This window comes from Homo sapiens, chromosome 15 (genome assembly GCF_000001405.40).
Source record: "Homo sapiens chromosome 15, GRCh38.p14 Primary Assembly".
Lineage (NCBI taxonomy): Eukaryota > Metazoa > Chordata > Mammalia > Primates > Hominidae > Homo > Homo sapiens.
The window spans coordinates 33,835,867-33,855,881 of NC_000015.10; the positions used below are offsets into that span (position 1 = coordinate 33,835,867).

General features: G+C 43.0%; 2 protein-coding genes across 24 annotated transcripts in view, besides 1 other annotated feature; one reads left to right on the plus strand and one right to left on the minus strand.

Moving 5' to 3' along the window:
• The window catches only part of RYR3 (ryanodine receptor 3), a 555,136-nt gene that overhangs the window by 524,900 nt on the left and 10,221 nt on the right, over nucleotides 1-20,015 (plus strand). For 14 of the 18 annotated variants that reach the window (NM_001036.6, XM_047432931.1, XM_017022468.2 and 11 more), the window contains 11 exons: nucleotides 1,040-1,121; nucleotides 1,765-3,092; nucleotides 4,959-5,017; nucleotides 5,998-6,169; nucleotides 7,622-7,708; nucleotides 8,996-9,196; nucleotides 12,425-12,555; nucleotides 17,179-17,221; nucleotides 17,689-17,816; nucleotides 18,523-18,583; nucleotides 18,900-19,046. In NM_001036.6, coding sequence (NP_001027.3) covers nucleotides 1,040-1,121; nucleotides 1,765-3,092; nucleotides 4,959-5,017; nucleotides 5,998-6,169; nucleotides 7,622-7,708; nucleotides 8,996-9,196; nucleotides 12,425-12,555; nucleotides 17,179-17,221; nucleotides 17,689-17,816; nucleotides 18,523-18,583; nucleotides 18,900-19,046 — 2,439 coding nt within the window. Of the gene's footprint in view, nucleotides 1-1,039; nucleotides 1,122-1,764; nucleotides 3,093-4,958; nucleotides 5,018-5,997; nucleotides 6,170-7,621; nucleotides 7,709-8,991; nucleotides 9,197-12,424; nucleotides 12,556-17,178; nucleotides 17,222-17,688; nucleotides 17,817-18,522; nucleotides 18,584-18,899; nucleotides 19,047-20,015 lie in introns of those variants that run through there. The other 4 variants (XM_017022475.2, XM_047432932.1, XM_047432933.1 and 1 more) reach the window with 3 other exon arrangements.
• Nucleotides 15,915-20,015, minus strand: part of AVEN (apoptosis and caspase activation inhibitor) — a 223,545-nt gene continuing 219,444 nt past the window's right edge. For 3 of the 6 annotated variants that reach the window (XR_007064476.1, XR_007064478.1, XR_007064479.1), the window contains one exon: nucleotides 15,915-19,079. The gene's annotated coding sequence lies outside the window, so the exon portion shown is untranslated. The remainder of the gene's footprint in view (nucleotides 19,080-20,015) is intronic. The other 3 variants (XR_007064480.1, XR_007064477.1, XR_002957667.2) reach the window with 2 other exon arrangements.
• Nucleotides 17,116-18,315: an enhancer, noted in NCBI's record as "CDK7 strongly-dependent group 2 enhancer chr15:34145183-34146382 (GRCh37/hg19 assembly coordinates)". NCBI's record gives its function as "activates an origin of replication core promoter dependent on BRD2, BRD4, P300/CBP, MED14 and CDK7 cofactors, with strong dependence on CDK7, by STARR-seq in HCT116 cells {active_cell/tissue: HCT116}" and the evidence as "EXISTENCE:reporter gene assay evidence [ECO:0000049][PMID:35650434]".

A 20,015-nucleotide genomic window follows, 5' to 3' on the forward strand; every position in this document is an offset into this window, starting at 1 on the left:
ACAAGAGCCCTGGCCCTGCCACCTCCTCACCAGTGACTTTTGGAAAGCCACTTTCCCTTTCTGGTTTTGGTTTCATCATCTCTGAAATATCCCAAGTTAGAATAGGTGATCTCTGAGGTCTCTTCACAGCTCTGATATCCTACACTTCTGTGATATTTTGTATATAGCTGTGATACACACCATAGGTGATGAAGATTCCTCTGAAAGTTGAAGGGCTAGGCAAAGAGCTATGGTTGGGTTTTTGGTTTTTGGTTTCTTTTTTTTTTTTCCTTTTTTCTTTTCTTTTCTTTTGCTTTTTTTTTATTATTATTTCTTTTCTTTCCTTTTTTTTGTGAGGGGGGGGTCTGTAAAAGGTATGTGACTCGGAATACCTTTTTAATCAAATCCCCAGATTGCCCACCTCAGATCTTCCAAGAATTGTTTCCTACTGTGACATAGGGTATAAGGCACGGAGGTAGCTTAGCGATGCTCTTCCTGCATTGCTGAAATTAAAACCAAACAGACTGGTATCAAAACCATCCAGAGGAATAGCCTCCATTTTATTCCATTTAAAGGGACAAGTGGCACCCAGATCACCACCAACTAGAATTAGGAGACTCTAAATTAATCCAGAAAGAAAGGAGAACCCACTTGGTGATTATAACCTTGATACCTTTACCAGATGTCCAGTGTTCCCATAAAGCTCACTGGTAATTCTCCAGTGTAGATAATGACAACGTAAACTACTAGAGATACCTGAAGGCTCTTTGGTGCATTGGGTTGTTCAGCCGTTTTGGACAACACTTGGTATATCTGCCACATTGTACTAATAAAAGGAAAAATGTAAAGGAGCTTTGTTGGATGAGTCCTGCTACAGTGAGTCTCCCGGTGCTGCAAACAGTGGACGATAAGGCATCCTCATTCAGAATGAGAAGGAAGCTCTTTCCCGACACTGATGCAGCCTGCACCTAACCTTTCCAGAGCAGGCTCTTCTCGCTCACTGCCCTGTACTTTACTGAGGGATCAGATAGCTCAGGGGTATCTCCTGTTTCTGTTCTAGGATTCCAGTCAGATCGAGCTGCTGAAGGAACTCTTGGATCTCCTTCAGGACATGGTGGTGATGCTTCTGTCCCTCCTGGAAGGTTGGGCTGTTTGGTATAACTAGGCCTTCACACAACTGTAATTGGTCTGAGCACTAACCTTACTGATCATGCAGATTATCCTTCTGGCAGGTCACTGATGCCATATGACATTGGTCAGAAAGCCAAATTTTCAGAAACGAAAAATAAAATGAGGGGCACCTGGTCTGACGGACGAAGCCTGAAATCAATTGATTTTCTATCAATAGGAAAGCCAGAATGAACTGGGGAAAACCTCCAAGCTTTGCTCTTCCCTATCCTCTCCCTCTCCCCATTGCTTTTCAACACATCTGGCTGCCAGTGTGTATGCCAGCCATCTAGTTGGGCACCCTCCTAGGTCTAAGGGGATCAAAGGGACACCATGTATCCCTATGTGTCCCTGATAATCTAATAATGAAACCACTTCCCAGGCCCCAGGCCATGTTAAAGGCAGTGGTGTGGCCACCTCCTTCTTCCCTTTGTTTCTTTCCCCCTTGGCTCCTAGTGGTGTAGTCTTTATGGCTTGCTGCTCCCTCCTACATCATCACGGTCAGAGAAGAGCTGACTAATTTGGCACAAAAGTCTTCTAAAAATAGCTACCTGACAAGTGACATGATAGCTTGGGTTTATTTGTATATTTGTATGTCTTTTTGAACCTGCCTCACAGGGAATGTGGTAAATGGCACCATTGGCAAGCAGATGGTTGACACACTGGTAGAATCATCTACCAATGTAGAAATGATCTTGAAATTCTTTGACATGTTCTTGAAACTTAAAGACTTAACCAGCTCAGACACCTTCAAAGAATATGACCCAGATGGTAAAGGAATTATCTCCAAAAAAGAATTCCAGAAGGCCATGGAAGGGCAAAAACAGTACACGCAGTCAGAGATTGACTTTCTCCTGTCGTGTGCAGAAGCTGATGAGAATGACATGTTTAATTACGTTGATTTTGTAGACCGGTTCCATGAGCCAGCCAAGGACATAGGGTTTAATGTGGCTGTGTTATTGACAAATCTTTCTGAACACATGCCAAACGATTCCCGCCTGAAGTGTCTGTTGGACCCAGCAGAAAGTGTGCTAAATTACTTCGAACCCTACCTAGGACGCATCGAGATCATGGGTGGGGCCAAGAAGATTGAGCGTGTTTATTTTGAGATCAGTGAATCCAGTCGCACTCAGTGGGAGAAGCCCCAGGTGAAGGAATCTAAGCGACAGTTCATTTTTGATGTTGTCAATGAAGGTGGGGAGCAGGAAAAGATGGAGCTGTTTGTGAACTTCTGTGAGGACACCATCTTTGAAATGCAGTTAGCATCTCAGATCTCTGAATCCGATTCAGCTGACAGGCCAGAAGAGGAGGAAGAAGATGAAGATTCTTCTTACGTGTTAGAAATTGCGGGTGAAGAGGAAGAAGACGGGTCTCTTGAGCCGGCCTCTGCATTTGCTATGGCCTGTGCCTCTGTGAAGAGGAATGTCACCGACTTCCTGAAGAGAGCAACCCTGAAGAACCTCAGGAAGCAGTACAGGAACGTGAAAAAGATGACTGCGAAGGAGCTGGTGAAGGTGCTCTTCTCCTTTTTCTGGATGCTGTTCGTGGGGCTATTCCAGTTGCTCTTCACCATCCTGGGAGGAATCTTTCAGATCCTCTGGAGCACAGTGTTTGGAGGGGGCCTGGTAGAAGGGGCAAAGAACATCAGAGTGACCAAGATCCTGGGTGACATGCCTGACCCAACCCAATTTGGTATCCATGATGACACTATGGAGGCTGAGAGGGCAGAGGTGATGGAGCCAGGTATCACCACTGAACTAGTACACTTCATAAAGGGGGAGAAGGGAGATACAGATATCATGTCAGACCTCTTTGGACTCCACCCAAAGAAAGAGGGCAGCTTAAAGCATGGGCCTGAAGTGGGTTTGGGTGACCTCTCAGAAATTATTGGCAAGGATGAACCCCCTACATTAGAGAGTACTGTACAGAAGAAGAGGAAAGCTCAGGTAAGTGTCATTTGTTTCTTTCATCTTCCTTTATCCCCAGAATAAGACTTGCCACCATATCTTGTAATCAGTACTGACACCATTTCCCTAGGAGCCAACACTCTATGTTAGACAGTGGCTGTGGTGTGATTACGCTGATCTTATAATTCCACCTCTGACATGTCTGCAGAAATCAAGACTTAGATGGTTATCTCAGTGCCTAGTCATTGGTTGGTCGTCTAGTTTATATTGTAGAATTCAAACATGATGGCCTGTGACACTTTGCCTCAGACTTTTATTAGAAGGTTAGTTCTCATGCTGTGCAGATGCATTCAGTGAACTGAAAGCACAGGAAACGAAGAATAACATAAAAGGAGACCTTCCTTCTGAGTCCGTGCTTTCTCAGTGTCATAAAAGGTCAAAATGATCCTTATGATTTGGCCTCTCTATGAGTTTGATCATGCTTGGGACATTTTTATCCTTGTGATACACTCACTGTTCAGTTAGTACTTCATGTCAGTCAACAAGATTAAGTGAACAAGATAGCAGGAATTCAGAGCCCCTTGACCATGGAAGGTTCTGGGTGTTCCCCTCTCTTGTAGTATCCAATTCACAGTGTCATTCTAGCATCAAAGAGAGTAGAGAAGTGTGAAAAGATCCAAGCCCAAAAACATTCATTCATTCATTCCATTATTATTTATTGAAAAGTTATTGTGCTTTGTCACTGTTTTAGGCTCTGGGAATATGGTGCTGAATAAGAAACACACTGTCCCTACAGCTTAGTGGAGAATAAAGGCATTGGACAAGTCAAGACAAGTATAAAGAATGCTAGGAAGGAGAAATGTCAGGTACTATAGTTCTCTGTAGGAGAGAACGCTGGTTCGAAGATTCAGGGAAGAAAACATCAGAATCAGCATTCCCACAATATTCTGTTTTGCTCCCTGATGTAGCCCCAAAACCTAGAATACAGTTTGATACATAATAGGGTCCCATTCCAGGACTGCTATGTGCCAGCCTGTGTTCTAGGATACAGGAATACATAGGTTCAAAGCAGAAAACAACATTTTTGCTCTCATGGATCTTAACTTCTAGTGGGAGAAGACAACAAATAAGATAATTATCATTTGTGCTGCGTGTTAGAACACATGAACATGCAGTGAGTTACAGAGTGAATGTAGGCCCAACAGAAATAGGTAGAGGAGGCTTCTGAAAAGGTGTCATCTGAGTCAAGTCCTGACGAGCAGCAGGCACGTGAAAAGCTGGGGCAGGCATACTCCAGGCAGAGGATATGGCTAAGTATCCTTTGGAATTACTCCTGGAATGATCGGGAATGTTCCAGGAAGTCTGCGTGTTTGGGTGTGGGACACGAGTCAAATGGTACAAGATGGGGATGAAGAGAAACACCGGGATCATGCAAGACTCATAGGCTGTGTTGAGGAGCTTGAATTTTACTCTAACTGCAGTGGTCCTCAGCCAGAGGGATTGGGATACTGGCAAGAGGATTAAAGACAAGGCAAGAAGAAGCCTGTCAGATGGAGGCAGGCTGATCAAACTTGGTTTGATCTGTGTCCCATGTCTTTCTGACCCTGTGGAGCAGTAGAACCACCGCCTTGAGGCTCTTACAATGTCCTAACACAAGTTTCCTCTTTGAATTGAGTAAGTTATAGAAGGGAGGTTGAGTTTTCAAGTTTCAAATCTTTGTCTTGGCATCTCTTCAGAGTCACTTGACATATATAGCAGGACACTTATGTTCAGTGATCCTGAGAGAAGCAGAAACATGAAAAGCCATTGAAATTTGTGACCAAGAAGCAAATGGCCAAGAAAATGTCTCATCATCATGACCTCGCTTCTTTGAGGAAAGCTTGACTAATTGTTATTTTTGTCTAGGCAGCAGAAATGAAAGCAGCAAATGAAGCAGAAGGAAAAGTAGAATCCGAGAAGGCAGAGTAAGTTCTTGGTAGCATCAACTACTCTCATTGCTATGGTAGATAATTCTTAGGCCAGGCAGAGTGGCTCGCACCTGTAATCCCAGCACTTTGAGAGGCTGAGGCTGGAGGATCACTTGAACCCAGGACTTCGAGACCATCCTGGGCAACATAATGAGACCCCATCTCTACAAAAAATACAAAAATTGCTGGGCATGGTGGTGTGCACCTGTAGTCACAGCTACTTGGGAGGCTGAGGTGGGAGGATTGCTTGAGCCCAGGAGGTCGAGGCTGCAGTGAGCCAAGATCACATCACTGCACTCCAAGCTGGGCAGCAGAGCAAGACCCTGTCTCAAAAACAAAAAAGAAAAAAAGAAAATAAAGATAGTTATTGATAGCATCTGATATTCTGTCGCTATAGTAAATAGAAAACTTGATATCTGTCAATGCAAGCAATTATTCTGCAAGCCCTGGGTATATTTCCTTTTACCCTAGCTATATAATAAATACCTTATATTTATCATGCTAAGTTTATAATCCCACTAGCAGATCAGAGTTTCACTATCTGGCCAGATGACTTTGCAACTTCATATATTGATGACAGTGATATCTAATGTTAAATACCTATTATGTGTCAGGCCTGTGCTCAGGTCTTTTATACAATATCTTATTAAATCTTGCCAGAAGTGTGGAAGAGTAGGTACTATTGCTTAGAAAATAAAGGGTAACTTCAGAAGGGGAAAAAAATTGTTAAGTCTAATTTCAGAAGAAGAGTACAAACTTGTATATAGCTGATGTTCACCAAGATCATGGCTCATCCTCATTGAATATAAATTTAATGTCCAGCCACTGTGGATTGATAAAGACCTGAAGTTTCCACCTTCAAGGAATGATTCTACCTCCCGGCCCTCTCAATCCAGATTTCTCTTTAATCTAGTCTCCCTTTTTGGGCCAGACCGCCCTCCCGTCTGCCCTGCTGAGTGGGTTTCCCATTTCTGCAGCATGGAAGATGGAGAGAAGGAAGACAAAGACAAAGAAGAGGAGCAAGCTGAGTACCTGTGGACAGAAGTGACAAAAAAGAAGAAGCGGCGGTGTGGTCAGAAGGTTGAGAAGCCGGAAGCTTTCACAGCCAATTTCTTTAAAGGGCTGGAAATCTATCAGACCAAGTTACTGGTAAGCATTCCAACCTTGGCCCTGTTCATGGTGCAGGGATTGGCCCAGGCAGATGGCAGAGAGGTGCCGCTGATTTGTTTCACTGTTTGGTCAGTTACACTTCCTCCCCTTTCTCATTCCTAAACTTTCTTCTTCCCATGTGTCTACCTATTCCTTTTCTGTTGGAGGAAAAGAAAAGGGGGAGAGCCTGGAAAGAACCACAGTCCTCCAGCAGCTCTGCTATCAGCAGGGTGTCCTCTCTCACCTGTTTCCTTACCAGGAGAGCAGGAACACCTCTTTCTACCCAGTCCTTTATGTGTATTATGTGGGGACTTAGCCAATCCTGGTCCAAAAGTTCAGAAGTGTTTTGATCACGTGGGAATCAGAAAGAATGTTCCTCTTATGTTAGCTTCCCACACTAGTCCTCCAAACCTTGATTGTTCTATATGCAATCAAAGCTTAGAACAGCTTGTAATATTCTTTCTCTGATACATTGCCCTCTGAGGTACAGTGGCTGAAGGCCAGGACCACACCTTCCCTAGCACCATTAGTGAGGGCTCCCCACAGAGAGATTGGGAACGTTACCCAGGCAGCTTCCACTCCAGTCTGTGGATGCTGATTTTTCTGGGGAAGATGGCAGCAAGAATGGGAATGCTGTTCCCAACAAGGGAGAAGAAGAGGCTCCTGGAACTGTAACTTGGAAAGGAATGAGGACTGAGGCCACAGAATGGCTACATCCAGGTTGGGAGTTGCCAGGGTCTTCTGCGAGCCTAGACCACTTACAGTTTCCTAATAGACTGCTTGCTGCGTGGAGTGATCACGAAAATGCAGTCACACAGCACTTCAAGGCAAGGCTCGAGTCCTCTGCTGGTGGCGTGTTTAGGCCTTTGGCTCCCTGAGCAATAAAGCCAGAGCAGGATTCTTTATACCAATTCTAAGCAATTTTTTTTTAAATCAACATTTTGGTTCCATGTTCATGACACGACACAGTCATGCCATGGCTGTGTTAAGAATGCCAGGGTTGGCCGGGCACGGTGGCTCACGCCTGTAATCCCAGCATTTTGGGAGGCCGAGATGGGTGGATCACGAGGTCAGGAGATCGAGACCATCCTGGCTAACACAGTGAAACCCCGTCTCTAGTAAAAAAACAAAAAAATTAGCCGGGTGTGTTGGCGGGCGCCTGTAGTCCCAGCTACTCGGGAGGCTGAGACAGGAGAATGGCATGAACCCGGGAGGTGGAGCTTGCAGTGAGCCGAGATTGCACCACTGCACTCCAGCCTGGGGGACAGAGCGAGACTCCATCTCAAAAAAAAAGAAAGAAAAGAATGCCAGGGTTACCCTAGAAGAGTGGTCATCAAAGAGTAGGACGAGTCAAGTGTGAACTTCTAACCAGAACTGACCTTCTGTGTGAAAGTAGGAAGTTCTCTTTTCCTTCCAAAGCTCTTCTACTTCTGCCTGTCCTTTTCTTTGCAGCATTACCTGGCCAGGAATTTCTACAACCTGAGGTTCCTTGCTCTGTTTGTAGCCTTCGCTATCAACTTCATCCTGCTTTTTTATAAGGTGATACTTCATTCAGGGGTTATTTGCTAAATATGCTGTATACTAAGTATGCTATGTGTAGAAAAAGAATCATGACAGAATTTGTGCTCTTAATTGTAGCAAACATTCTAATAGGTAGCAAATTTCTAAGACATTGGCTTCTAAAAGGAATACAATTTCTAGCAGTGGAGAGACTACTGACAAGAGAGCCAGTGAGGGGACTATTTCAATAGTTCATGCTTATTTTAGTCGTTGCTTAGTCTTCAAATACTTGCTGAGCATCTACCATGAGCTAGACCCTGTATTAGGAACAACAAGGTATTTCAAAATGAGTAATAAATAAAATTCTTTCTTCAAGGAATAAGGTAACCAAGAGCCATTATAGTTGGCCTATTTGTTAGAAGCGTTATAAAGGAAAAATTAACAGGATTTGGAAAGAGAGGGGACTGCTCAAGTTAAATGAAGGTTTTGAACATTGGCAAGTGGGTCTTGCATGCTGTAGGCATGTAATAATTGTTAGTGCAGTGAATTAATGAAGGGTCCTGAATTCTCGACATAGTCTTTAACTGGTTTTTCTATCTCTTGCCTATCTCCCTTTCTACTTAAAACCACCAATCTAATTTGTATGAAACATTGTTTTATCCACCTCAACTTTCCACTCGACAAACTAATGACCTTCTGTTGCCCATAAAAGAAAAATGGAAGTCCATAGCCAAGAGAGGCAAAGCTTGGTTTTAAACACATTGAGGTTGAAGTGACTTCAGACAGCCATCCAAGAAGAGAAAGCCAGCAAGCAGTTGGAGCTACAGGACAAAGCCTCAAAGTTGTAGATTTGAGAGTCATCTGTATAAGAATAGCGGCTGAAGCCATGAATGTAAATGGCATCTCAGAAAGAATGGAAAATACTGAGTCTCTGGCTGGGTGGCAGTGGTGGGTGGGGGAGCGGGCACACACATCCTTCACGCTTGTGTGTGTGTCTTTGCCTCCTCTCAGGCCACAGCATGATCAGAGATTCCCTTCTGTGGCATAAGGATTATAAGCATATGTAGTAAAAGTTGCCTAATTTTAATTTTTTTGCTTTCTTCTCAAGAGATAGGTTTTGTCTCCTTTTTAAAAGTTTGTTTGCAATTATTAGAGATACTGGGTGATTCCTAGTAATAAGTCACCTAAAAACCTCATTCATTCAGCAAGTAATGTTGAGTCACTACTATTTGTATAGCACATGCTAACAATATAAAATATGTGGGGAGAGCCCAATGGCTGAGGTTCTTTTTGATGTTTAATAAGCGAGTGTGTATTTTGAGCCAGGTCACTGAAGAACCTTTAGAAGAAGAGACAGAGGATGTTGCAAACCTATGGAATTCCTTTAATGACGAGGAAGAGGAAGAAGCGATGGTATTCTTTGTCCTTCAGGAGAGCACCGGGTATATGGCACCAACCCTGCGTGCCCTGGCCATCATCCATACCATCATCTCTCTAGTCTGTGTGGTGGGCTACTACTGCCTGAAGGTGAGCTGTTTGCCACTCTGGATCTAATCTCACTCCTTGAGGAAGAAATGTCCTTTTTGAGCCCAGCCAGCCCTTTGCTCTAAGACTTTGCTAGCCGTAAAGGCCTTCGTAAGGTCCGTAGAGCAGCAGCAGCACATCACTTGGGAGCTGCCTAGACCTGCAGAGTCTCAGGCCTCACCATAGGTTTTCTTCTGTTGTTGTTGTTTTTGAGATGGGTTTCGCTCTTGTCTCGCAGGCTGGAGTGCAGTGGTGCAAGCTCGGCTCACTGCAACCTCCGCCTCCCAGGTTCAAGCAATTGTCCTGTCTCAGCCTCCCGAGTAGCTGGGATTACAGATGCCTGCCACCATGCCCAGCTAATTTTTGTATTTTTTAGTAGAGACAGGGTTTCACTATGTTGGCCAGGCTGGTCCTGAACTCCTGACCTCAGGTAATCCATCTGCCTCGGCCTCCCACAGTGCTGGGATTACAAGCATGAGCCACTGCGCCCAGCCCCTAAGTCCTTTAACTCAGAATCTACCACTTAGCATGATCACTGGGCAATCTGTACGCACTTTCAAGTTTGAGAAGCCTTGAGCTAGGAGTCCCATTTCAGGTACCTCTTGTTGAATTTCATAGAACTAGAGTCATCAGGCTAAAGTCACATGGAGAGCTAGTCATGACAGAATCTTCTGATCTTTGAATTGATGTCAAAATTTTTATAAAAATACCTTTTCATTAGGTGGTAACCACTCAAGATCTCAGAAGAAAGCTTACTGATGTGTTAGTTTTCAGTTATCCATTGCTGCATAACAAACCACTCTAAAACTCAGTGGTCTAAAATGACAACTATTTATCTCTGTGATTCTGTGAGATGACTGGCACATTTGGGCAGTTCCTCTGTTCTATGTAAAGGCGCTACATTTGCAGCCATCTGCGAGCTCAGCTGGGCTGGAATGGCCAAGATGGCACATTCCCATGCCTGGCAGCTCCACAGGGGGACAACTGGAAGGATGGGCTCAGCTGGGGTAGCTGGGCCTCTCTCTGTCTCCCTCTTTCTCTCCAGGGAGATTCAGAGCATCTCCTTCTCCACGTGGCCTTTCCACATGATCTGTCCGGTAGGGTAGCTAGACTTCTTGCATGATGGCTTGGGTTTCCAAAAAGAGCATGGAGGTGGAAGCTGCTAAGCCTTCCTAGGTCTTAGGCCCAGAACTGGTACAGTGTCATTTCCATTGCATTCTGTGGTTTAAGGCAAGTCACATGGCCATCCCAGATGCACTGCTGCATGGTAGAGGGGAGAGGCACTACACAAAGGCATGAATTCCAGGAGGCGTGGTTCCTTGGGGCCATATTCACAACCACTACAGTTATGTCAATCTTCTGTCATTCAATTTTTGGTGTCCCAAGTCCAGATCTAGTTCTGCTACATCATAATTGTGTTTTTCTCACTGCTTTTCTCATTACATTTTTTTCTTCCTTCTCTTGAGTAGGAAGTCTCCTTAAGTACAGCAAGCCATCTTCTTCCCAGGAAGAGTCCAGGAAATACTTTCCTATATTGTGGTCCTTTCTTCCCTCAGTGAACTATTGTGTCATGTAGGAAGTCCAGCTACTGTGCTGCAGAGACCTTATGCCCTGGGCTACACTAAGGACTCTATTGCAACTATGAAAGTGCAAATTCTGGAGCCAAGCTGCCTGGGTTGAACTCACAGCTCTGCCACTTAAACTCCCAGTCCTCTATCTTCTCATACATAAAAATGAGTACTGTTGCTAAAGTTGCTGGGGGGATTAAATGTAGAGGTATGTGTAAATGTACTCAGAACACATAGTAAACCCTCAAGCATGTTCGCTGCTGCTCCTTAGTTTGAGATCCTAGAGTTCAGCTTATTAGATGGAGTACAGATTATACTGTGACCAGGAGAAACAAAAAAGAAACACTATTTAGCAAGTAAAGAATGTGGAAGTTCTGTTTACGAGAGTATACAAACTTCTAGGAGACTGAAGGGGAATGCTTGGAATCCCAGAGATGAGCACCGCTCTACAACTTGATATTACTACTGTTCTCTAGAGTCATCCAAAACACGGCAGGCATTAGTCGCTGAGCTTTGCCTCACCTCCCACATCATCTGTGTACTAACAGTCATCATCAGTTCCTCACAGTGTGCAGTGGCTACTAGCCTTTGCCACCTTCCTATCGTGAGTTTTTCATTTTATCAGTGTTATTTCATTGTTTTAAAGAAAAACAGGGCAAGAGGTAACTCTTTACAAATCACTGTCTGAATTTTGTTCTTTTGTTTTGGACAAAAGCGATGTGGGGTACATGCATATCATGGGTTTGGAGACAAAGGTCTCAAGGATGTTGCCAAGTAGCCAGTGGCATCTCAGCTGGAGATGAGATGAGACGCCCTAGCTCTGTCTGAATTAAGCTTTTCTGGCTAGAGGAGCTGCGTCAATTGTGACTTCTCATTTCCTGGGATTTCAGCAGTATCCTCTGGCCTCATTAACTGTCCCATGTTTGGAGTGTGTGTGCACTTAGTGATGGTTGGGGCAAGTGGATTATTTTCCAATCCCTTTCTGTGTTCCCCTTTGGCAGTAGGTCCTTAGAGCCATACCACTATATCTAGTCTAAAATAAAAGTTCCAATTATAAAAGAATAGAGAGTGATAGTAGGAAACAAGTATGCCACTACCTGGAAGGAGCTCTTTACGGACAGAATCTCAGGAAGAAAACTTCATACAGAAAGACTGAATCTTCTCATTCTAACTATGAGACCATGTTTCATTAACTGACCTTCAACGCCATGAGATAAATATGGCCCTGTACATTGAAGGGAGTTGGAACATTTCATCATATTCCTGTGGCTGGCCGATCTATTCTAGAATGGTTTATTGTCCTTTCTAAATCTTGGTTCAACTCCAGCCGAGGAGCCTTAGGAGTCCTAACTCATTCAACCCTGGGGCTCATCTAGGCGTGGCCTGCACACTAGCATGGGTCAAGGAGTCTAGTTTGTATTAATATTAGCCATCTAACTGAAAACTTAAAGGGTGACCCAAATCAGATCAGCTTTAAAGAGGTAGGTAGGTATTTAGCCAAAGAGATTCATTTGGCTTTGATCCCACAACTAGGCACTCTAAGAATTCCACTATAAGGAGATTGCTGCTCTGAAGTTGGAAGGTTAATTTGTGACAAATACCTGGGAGCAGGAGCTTTAATCACAAAGCCTGCTCTGAGTAACCATCCTCCTCCCACTCCTAGGTGCCTTTGGTGGTTTTCAAAAGGGAAAAAGAAATCGCCAGGAAGCTGGAGTTTGATGGCCTATATATCACCGAACAGCCATCTGAAGATGACATCAAGGGGCAGTGGGACCGCTTGGTGATCAACACACCGTGAGTGTCCCTCTACCCCAACCTAAAAAGGAGATGGAGTCTCTACTGTAAATAGAGTAACTCTTTCCTCCTGGCCTTAAAACTGGTTAATATAAACTGTCTTTTGATTTCTAGGACTTTTCTCCCTTGCCTCTTCAATAAAGCCACTTACTGCCCATCAAATACTTGTATAGACTTCTATTAGTTTAATGGGGACAGAAGATATTATCAGAAAGTACTGAATATATTTGATTTAGACCAGACAGTCCAGTACAATATTGCTTAAACTAGTTTTCCATGTTCGAGTCACACAGTGTTTCCAGGGCTTAAGTGGCCAAGGCGTCTAGAGATCAAGTTGATCAGCTTCAGCTTTTCCATAGCCTTCCATGGCACAGCACTGCTATAACTGCCATCTCTGAAGTCCTCTTTTTTTTTTTTTTTTTTTTTTTTTTTGAGACAGAGTCTCCCTTTGTTGCCCAGGCTGGAGTGCAGTGGCGCGATCTCAGCTCACTGCAAGCTCTGCCTCCCGGGTTCACGCCATTCTCCTGCCTTAGCCTCCCGAGTAGCTGGGACTACAGGCGCCTGCCACCACGCCTGGATAATTTTTTTGTATTTTCAGTAGAGACGGGGTTTCACCGTGTTAGCCAGGATGGTCTCGATCTCCTGATCTGGTGATCCACCCACCTCAGCCTCCCAAAGTGCTGGGATTACAGGCATGAGCCACCACGCCCGGCCTGAAGTCCTCCTCTTAACCAAATAGCCTGCTTGGTAAGAGACCTCGTCTTAACGTAAGATTGAGAGGCAATTACATGGGCAGGTAAATAGAGCCGTCTGGTAGGGATATGAAGACCTGTGGAGGCAAGCCTGCCTTCCTGTAGGCATGTGGCACTGTGGTGGGAAGAAGGAAGAGCACTGATTGACAGGCAGGTGACACCAAGGCTCTGACGCTTACTGGTCTGTGAACTTGCACAAGGTAATCAAGCCTTCTCAGCCTTAGTTTCCTCATCAGTAATAGAAGGATGAGAATATCATCCTGCAGAGGATTAATGAATGTATGTGTCAAATGCTTGGCAAATGCCTGGCACGTGGTAGGCATTAAGCTGTTACTCATTCTCTTTTCTTTCCTGTAACTATCCAAAAAGTGGCCATCACCATTAGCAAATGTCACACTCTAATGACAGTTGATTCACAAGTAAGTGACAGTTTCAAGATAAATTAATGTGGCAAAAGAAAAGAAATAGGGCCAAATAGTAAACAAAGGTGACTGTGTTGAAACTCTTAGGTGTGCCAATTAAGATAGGCATGTTAAGAAACAGCAACCCTGACTCCAGGGGAAGAAAGCTGTGTCCTATCCAAAGATGATCAGGCAAACTGAGAAGCAGCTCTGCAAAGGTACAACTAAGGATATTTATTTCTTTATATTCTCCAGAAAAGGAAGCCTCTTCCCTTAGAAGGGGGAAAATGTGAACAGGCACATCCTCACATCCTAAGTCTGTCCCTGCCTGCGGGTCCCCTGCCAATCTTCTCACACAAGGAAAAGCACTGTTTCTGATGCTTTGTCATTACATTACAGAAGTCTTAGACACTATTGAATAGTTTAATCCTTTGGTAAGCTTTGTGCAATCATCAGTAATGCCTGCGTCTTGTTATACAGGGGCATGTGGCCTAAAAGTCCCAGTAAGAAGGCAGTTCAATTTCGGCCAGGCACAATGGTTCATGCCTGTAATCCCAGCGCTTTGGGAGGCCGAGGCGGGTGGTTCATGAGGTCAGGAGTTCGAGACCAGCCTGGCCAACATAGTGAAACCCCGTCTCTACTAAAAATACAAAAAAATTAGCTGAGCGTGGTGGTGGGCGCCTGTAATCCCAGCTACTTGGGAGTCTGAGGCAAGGAGAATCACTTGAACCTGGGAGGCGGAGGTTGCAGTGAGCTGAGATCACACCACTGCGCTCCAGCCTGGGCGACAGAGCAAGACTTCATCTCAAAAAAAAAAAAGAAGGCAGTTCAATTTCTAGCAATGTATCCTAAGGAGATAATGAGACAAGTACACTAAAATGTCCTAACAAAGGTATTTCCCAATATTTTTTACTTAGAGTGGCTTAAACGTCCATGAGTAGGAAATGCATAAATAAATAGCTATTTTTTAAAATGTTAGATAGACCAATGTTTAATTTTTTTTCACAATGGCATCATAGTACATGTTCATGTTTTGTAACGTGCTTTTTTTCAGTTAACTGTATGTCATGGGAGCTTTCTTTTTAAACATTTTACTTTTATATTGTTAAGCACACATAAGAACATATAAAATGTATATGTACATTTTACAGTATAATTATAAACCAAAAAGGTTAAAAAAATAGAACATTACTGAGAGCTTAAAAATCCCCTGTATTATCCTCCCTGATTATATCTTCCCAACCCACAGCTATCTACATTTTTGATGTTCATTAGTGGTTAGTAATATTAATTCTTAAATAATTAGCAATCAGTGATATTAGTGATATTCATTCTCCTGCCTTATAGTTTTCCCACTTAGGTATTTGTCCCTAAATATATTTTGACTATTTTGACTATTTGGAACTTAATATAAGTGGAATTATACTATATACATTATACTGTCACTTGAATTTTTTTTAGCATTGTTTGGGAACTCACCTATGTTGATGTATATAGCTATAGTTTGTTCATTTTCAAAGCTGTAGCATTTTCCATTATGTATATTATCACATTGATCAATTTTCCTGACAGTAGATATTTCAACTTGTTTTCTAAAGTTTCTGGCTTTTATAAACAGTGCTACAGTGAACATTCTTATACCTGATACACAAGTTGAAGGATTTCTCTAGAGTATAGACCCAGGAGAGAAATTTGCTGAATAGTAGGATATGCAAAATGTTTGTCCCAATTTATGCTCCAAACAGTACTATATTCGAGTTTCTTCTTCTCTGCTTATTTGCTGGCACTTATTGCTGGCAGATAATTTTGCTGATCTAGTAGGTGTATAGTGGCACCTCATTGTATGTTTCCCTGATTACTAAATGGGTTAAGCATCTTGTACTTTTTCCCTGAACATTCATGTACAGATGTACTCTTTATTTATGCACTTTCCTTCTGAAGGTCTGTTCTCTATGCCACACTTTAAGGACTCGTAACAAGTAAAAAATCTGTTTTCTACCTTCAAGGAGTTTGCATACCTAGTCAGGGGACAAGAAATTCAGAATGCTCAGATGAAGGTAAGACCGCATCTATGAAGGGGTCATGCCCAGAGCCTGTGGTCCTTGGCCCTTCAGCATCACTCGTGGAATCTTCTGCTTAGGAGAAAATGCGACCAGGCTGAGTTGTATGTTACCATTTGTATAAATGATTTAAGAGAAAGGAGGTATCAGTGTGGCAGAGAGCGCATGGCTTGATTTTTATTTGTTTTATTTTCAATTTAAATGCAGTGCATAAAAAAATCAAGGAGCAATGTACAAGGAAGAAAGTCAAAATAATTGTTATTTTCATCCCCCAGAGATAAAATATTAGCAGTTTACTCTGTAACACCAGCATTTGTTTTTGCTTTCAAGTGGCATTTAAATGTTTAAGACAAAGAAACTGCTTTAACAAACCAAAAAAAAAAAACATTTTTTTTTAAATACTGCCACCCTGTTGGGGGAGAGGCGGCATGAGAGGTCAGTGAATAGTAGGAGGTCTCCATTTCCTTATCACCAACTTGGGTGGTCTCTGGAGAATAGGGAACTGTTGTGTTCTAGAACCAAAAAGAATGAATCAAATAAAGGAAAACAAAAGTAAGAATGCATGCACCAAAGGCCAGAGACTCCTAGGCTGCAATCCAGTCTTACAAGGAACCCCCCCACAGGAAGGATTCAGTAATTCTGGATAGGAACAACATATTTTCAATGGTTTTTGCAAGCATTCCTGAAGATGACAGTTCTTTCTTAACTTTAACAGTAAGAAATATTTGCAGTGGAGCTGGTACAAGCTACAGAGAGAAGAAAGATCATCTCTCTGGGGATGCTAGGGGATGGTACAGAACCATCTCCAAAAAAGAAAGGGATCCAACTCCTGGAGGAAAGCAGGCCCTGTGGCATTACGTGGGAATAGAAAATAGAGTGGAAAAACACTCAGCTTAAAAAATCCAATGTAAATAAACTAAAGGTGATTCCCAGACTGGAAACTGCATATAGTTAGGGACTTTATCTACACTTTCTACCACACCCCACATCCCGCATCGCCATTATCTACCCCAGTAGGTGACATAAAGTAGTGACTCATTGAATGGAATGCCTGTGTTTTCTGTAGCATTTTGTTTCTGGTTATACTGGGATTAGGGAAAGGACTTAGAAACATACAACTGTCTCTGTCTAATCTGTCATCACAATTCTTGGCTCCAAATCATAATTCTGAGGCAGAAACTGCCCAGTGGCCTTCTGAGTGTTTCAAAAGCCAATACAAAGTAATGAAGCCATACATGACTCAGTAGAGCCTGTGATGACTCTGAACTTCAATCAGATCTTAAAATTCTTTGGTGAGCAGGACACAAACCAGAAAGATCCCAGATCCAGGCACTCAAACTGAAACGTTTCTTGATGTGTTTTCCTTGATGTTAAGAATGAAGAACCAACCTTTTTCGTTTTGTTTTTCAGATCTTTTCCTAATAACTACTGGGACAAGTTTGTAAAGAGAAAGGTATGCCTTGTTAGTGGGGGTGAGTTCCGTGATCACCAAAAAATGTGGTGTATGTTTTTTAAGTTCTCCACATACAAACATGAGTAAATGTGATGCTACTTTTATGATAATATCTCAAGAAGAGTAAGTCACAGAAGGGGTTGGATATGAACATATGTAGGTTTTTGGCTTCATTCATATACTCATCTGCCTTAAACAAGTTAACACAGTCCTCATTGTTTTCTGCATAGTAGATGTTTTCTCCCCTGCAAATCAAGATATCAGTATCAGCTTAAAAAACAGTTATCATTTAATTGTCTTCATTGCTTTTTTCTCTGGGTTTTCTCTTTTTTCTGCATTTTGAACTATGTCTTCATCTACCCCTTGGAAGATTGCCCATAGGGCAGCAAAGCTCTGAAGACCCCAGAGCTAGAAAATATTTGGTGGTGGCGTGTGGCCTGAGCTCACCCTGTCATCCTTTGCTTCAGGTGATCAACAAGTATGGAGATCTCTACGGAGCAGAACGCATTGCTGAACTTCTGGGTTTGGACAAAAATGCTCTTGACTTTAGCCCAGTAGAAGAGACCAAAGCAGAAGCGGCTTCTCTGGTGTCATGGTACAAAAAGCTTAGGAGTTCAAATCCAAAGCAGCTAAAATAGATAGATCTTTGCTTTTCCATAGGAAAAAATCACAACCGTGTCTTTGTTCTCTCAGGCTGTGGTCTGGCTTAGGTGTTTCTTCTAGGTTCTAACACTGGGAGAGCACTGCCTTAAAAATTTGAAGACTAATACATTTTTATGCCCTATAGAGCTGAAAGATAAAGACTTAATTAAAATTTCAGGTTGGGCTGGGCGCAGTGGCTCATACCTGTAATCCCAGCACTTTGGGAGGCTGAGGTGGGCAGATCATGAGGTCAGGAGTTCGATACCAGCCTGGCCAACATAGTGAAACCCCGTCTCTACTAATAATATTTTTAAAAAGTAGCTAGGCGTGGTGGTGGGCACCTGTAGTCCCAGCTGCTTGGGAGGCTGAGGCAGGAGAACCGCTTGAACCTGGCAGGTGGAGGTTGCAGTAAGCCAAGATCACGCCACTACACTCCAGCCTGGGTGATAGAGTGAGACTCCGTTTCAAAAAAAAAAAAAAATTCAGGCTATGTGATTCAACTGTTCTCTTGTCTCATGGGGAGCACATACAACTTGATAAAGCTGAGAGCCATATTTAGGTTATTAAACCTGAGAGAAAAAACTTACTTTTTCCCCCTTATTGAGCACTTAACTACCTCTTGACATTTATAAGTTTTAAAATCACTTGTTCTTCTCTAGGCTAAGTTCCATAGACATGAAGTACCATATCTGGAAGCTTGGAGTTGTTTTTACTGACAACGTAAGTACTGCACCTGGAAAAACAAAATTCTATACCCCAGTTCAGGGATGCCACAGAGAAGCAAGCTATGCAGGATGCTCAGAAGGGTTCAGGGATTGCTTATCAAAGACCAAGAGCCTTATACGTGCTGGGGGAACACTTATACAATGGTATAAGGTAGATGGGGCTCACTTAGCAGATCTTGGGCCAGCTCACAGCACCTCAGCACCTAAACCCCCTCTATCCTCAGTGTGTCTCCCAAAATAAGAAAAAATGTTTTATAATGAGCACACTATGAGGCAAACATGCTTAAAAGTCTGCTTTCTTCCATTCCCAGTCCTTTCTCTACCTTGCCTGGTATACAACCATGTCAGTCCTGGGCCACTACAATAACTTCTTCTTTGCTGCTCACCTATTGGACATCGCAATGGGCTTCAAGACACTGAGGACCATTCTGTCATCTGTAACTCACAATGGCAAACAGGTATGGTTTCTACTGATGCAGAACAGAATGGACCTGTATATGCACAGGAAAAAAAGAACAGCAGGTAGTATACAGTATATGACAGGAAGGAATATGTCTTGGTATATAATGTACTTTTCTTGGCCAAACACTTCAACTAATGGTGATTGTTTTTGCAAAATTGTAGCCAATTAAAAATGTAACTGCAACCATCATCTAAAAAGCATAAGACCTTGATTCAGTGACCCCTGACATTTAGATCAACCAGGAGAGGGAGGGAGGTGATGGACATGTCAGAATGACCTTGGAGATCTTTTTTTTTTTGTGACGGTGTCTCGCTGTGTAGCCCAGGCTGGAGTGCAGCGGTGGGATCTTGGCTCACTGCAACCTCCGACTCCCAGGTCCCAGTTCAAGCAATTCTCCTGCCTCAGCCTCCAGAGTAGCTGGGATTACAGGCACATGCCACCATGCCCGGCTAATTTTTGTATTTTTAGTAGAGACGGGGTTTCACCATGTTGGCCAGGCTGGTCTCAAACGCCTGATCTCAGGTGATCCACCCGCCTCGGCCTCCCGAAGTGCTGGGATTACAGGTGTGAGCCATCGTGCCCGGCCGGAGATCTTTTTAAGGTCTACCCCTTCCTCCATGAATCTGATATATTCCCTGGGGGTTAGCAAGTAGACATACTGTACACAGAAAACTCCCCAGGTATTTCTGATATCTGCATCCAATTAAGAGCCAATATTTCTGATATCTGCATCCAATTAAGAGCCAATGATTTCAGATACACACACACATATGTATATGGTTGTTATACACATAGTACACATTTTATGTGTGTATATACATTATATAGTTAATACATATTATATAGTTAATATATAATCAAGAAATTGACTCTGACAATATATGGAAGACTGGATATTGATGAGACTGGATATAGCAACGGCTATAACCATATTAAAATCTTCTAATGGCTTCTCCTTGTATAC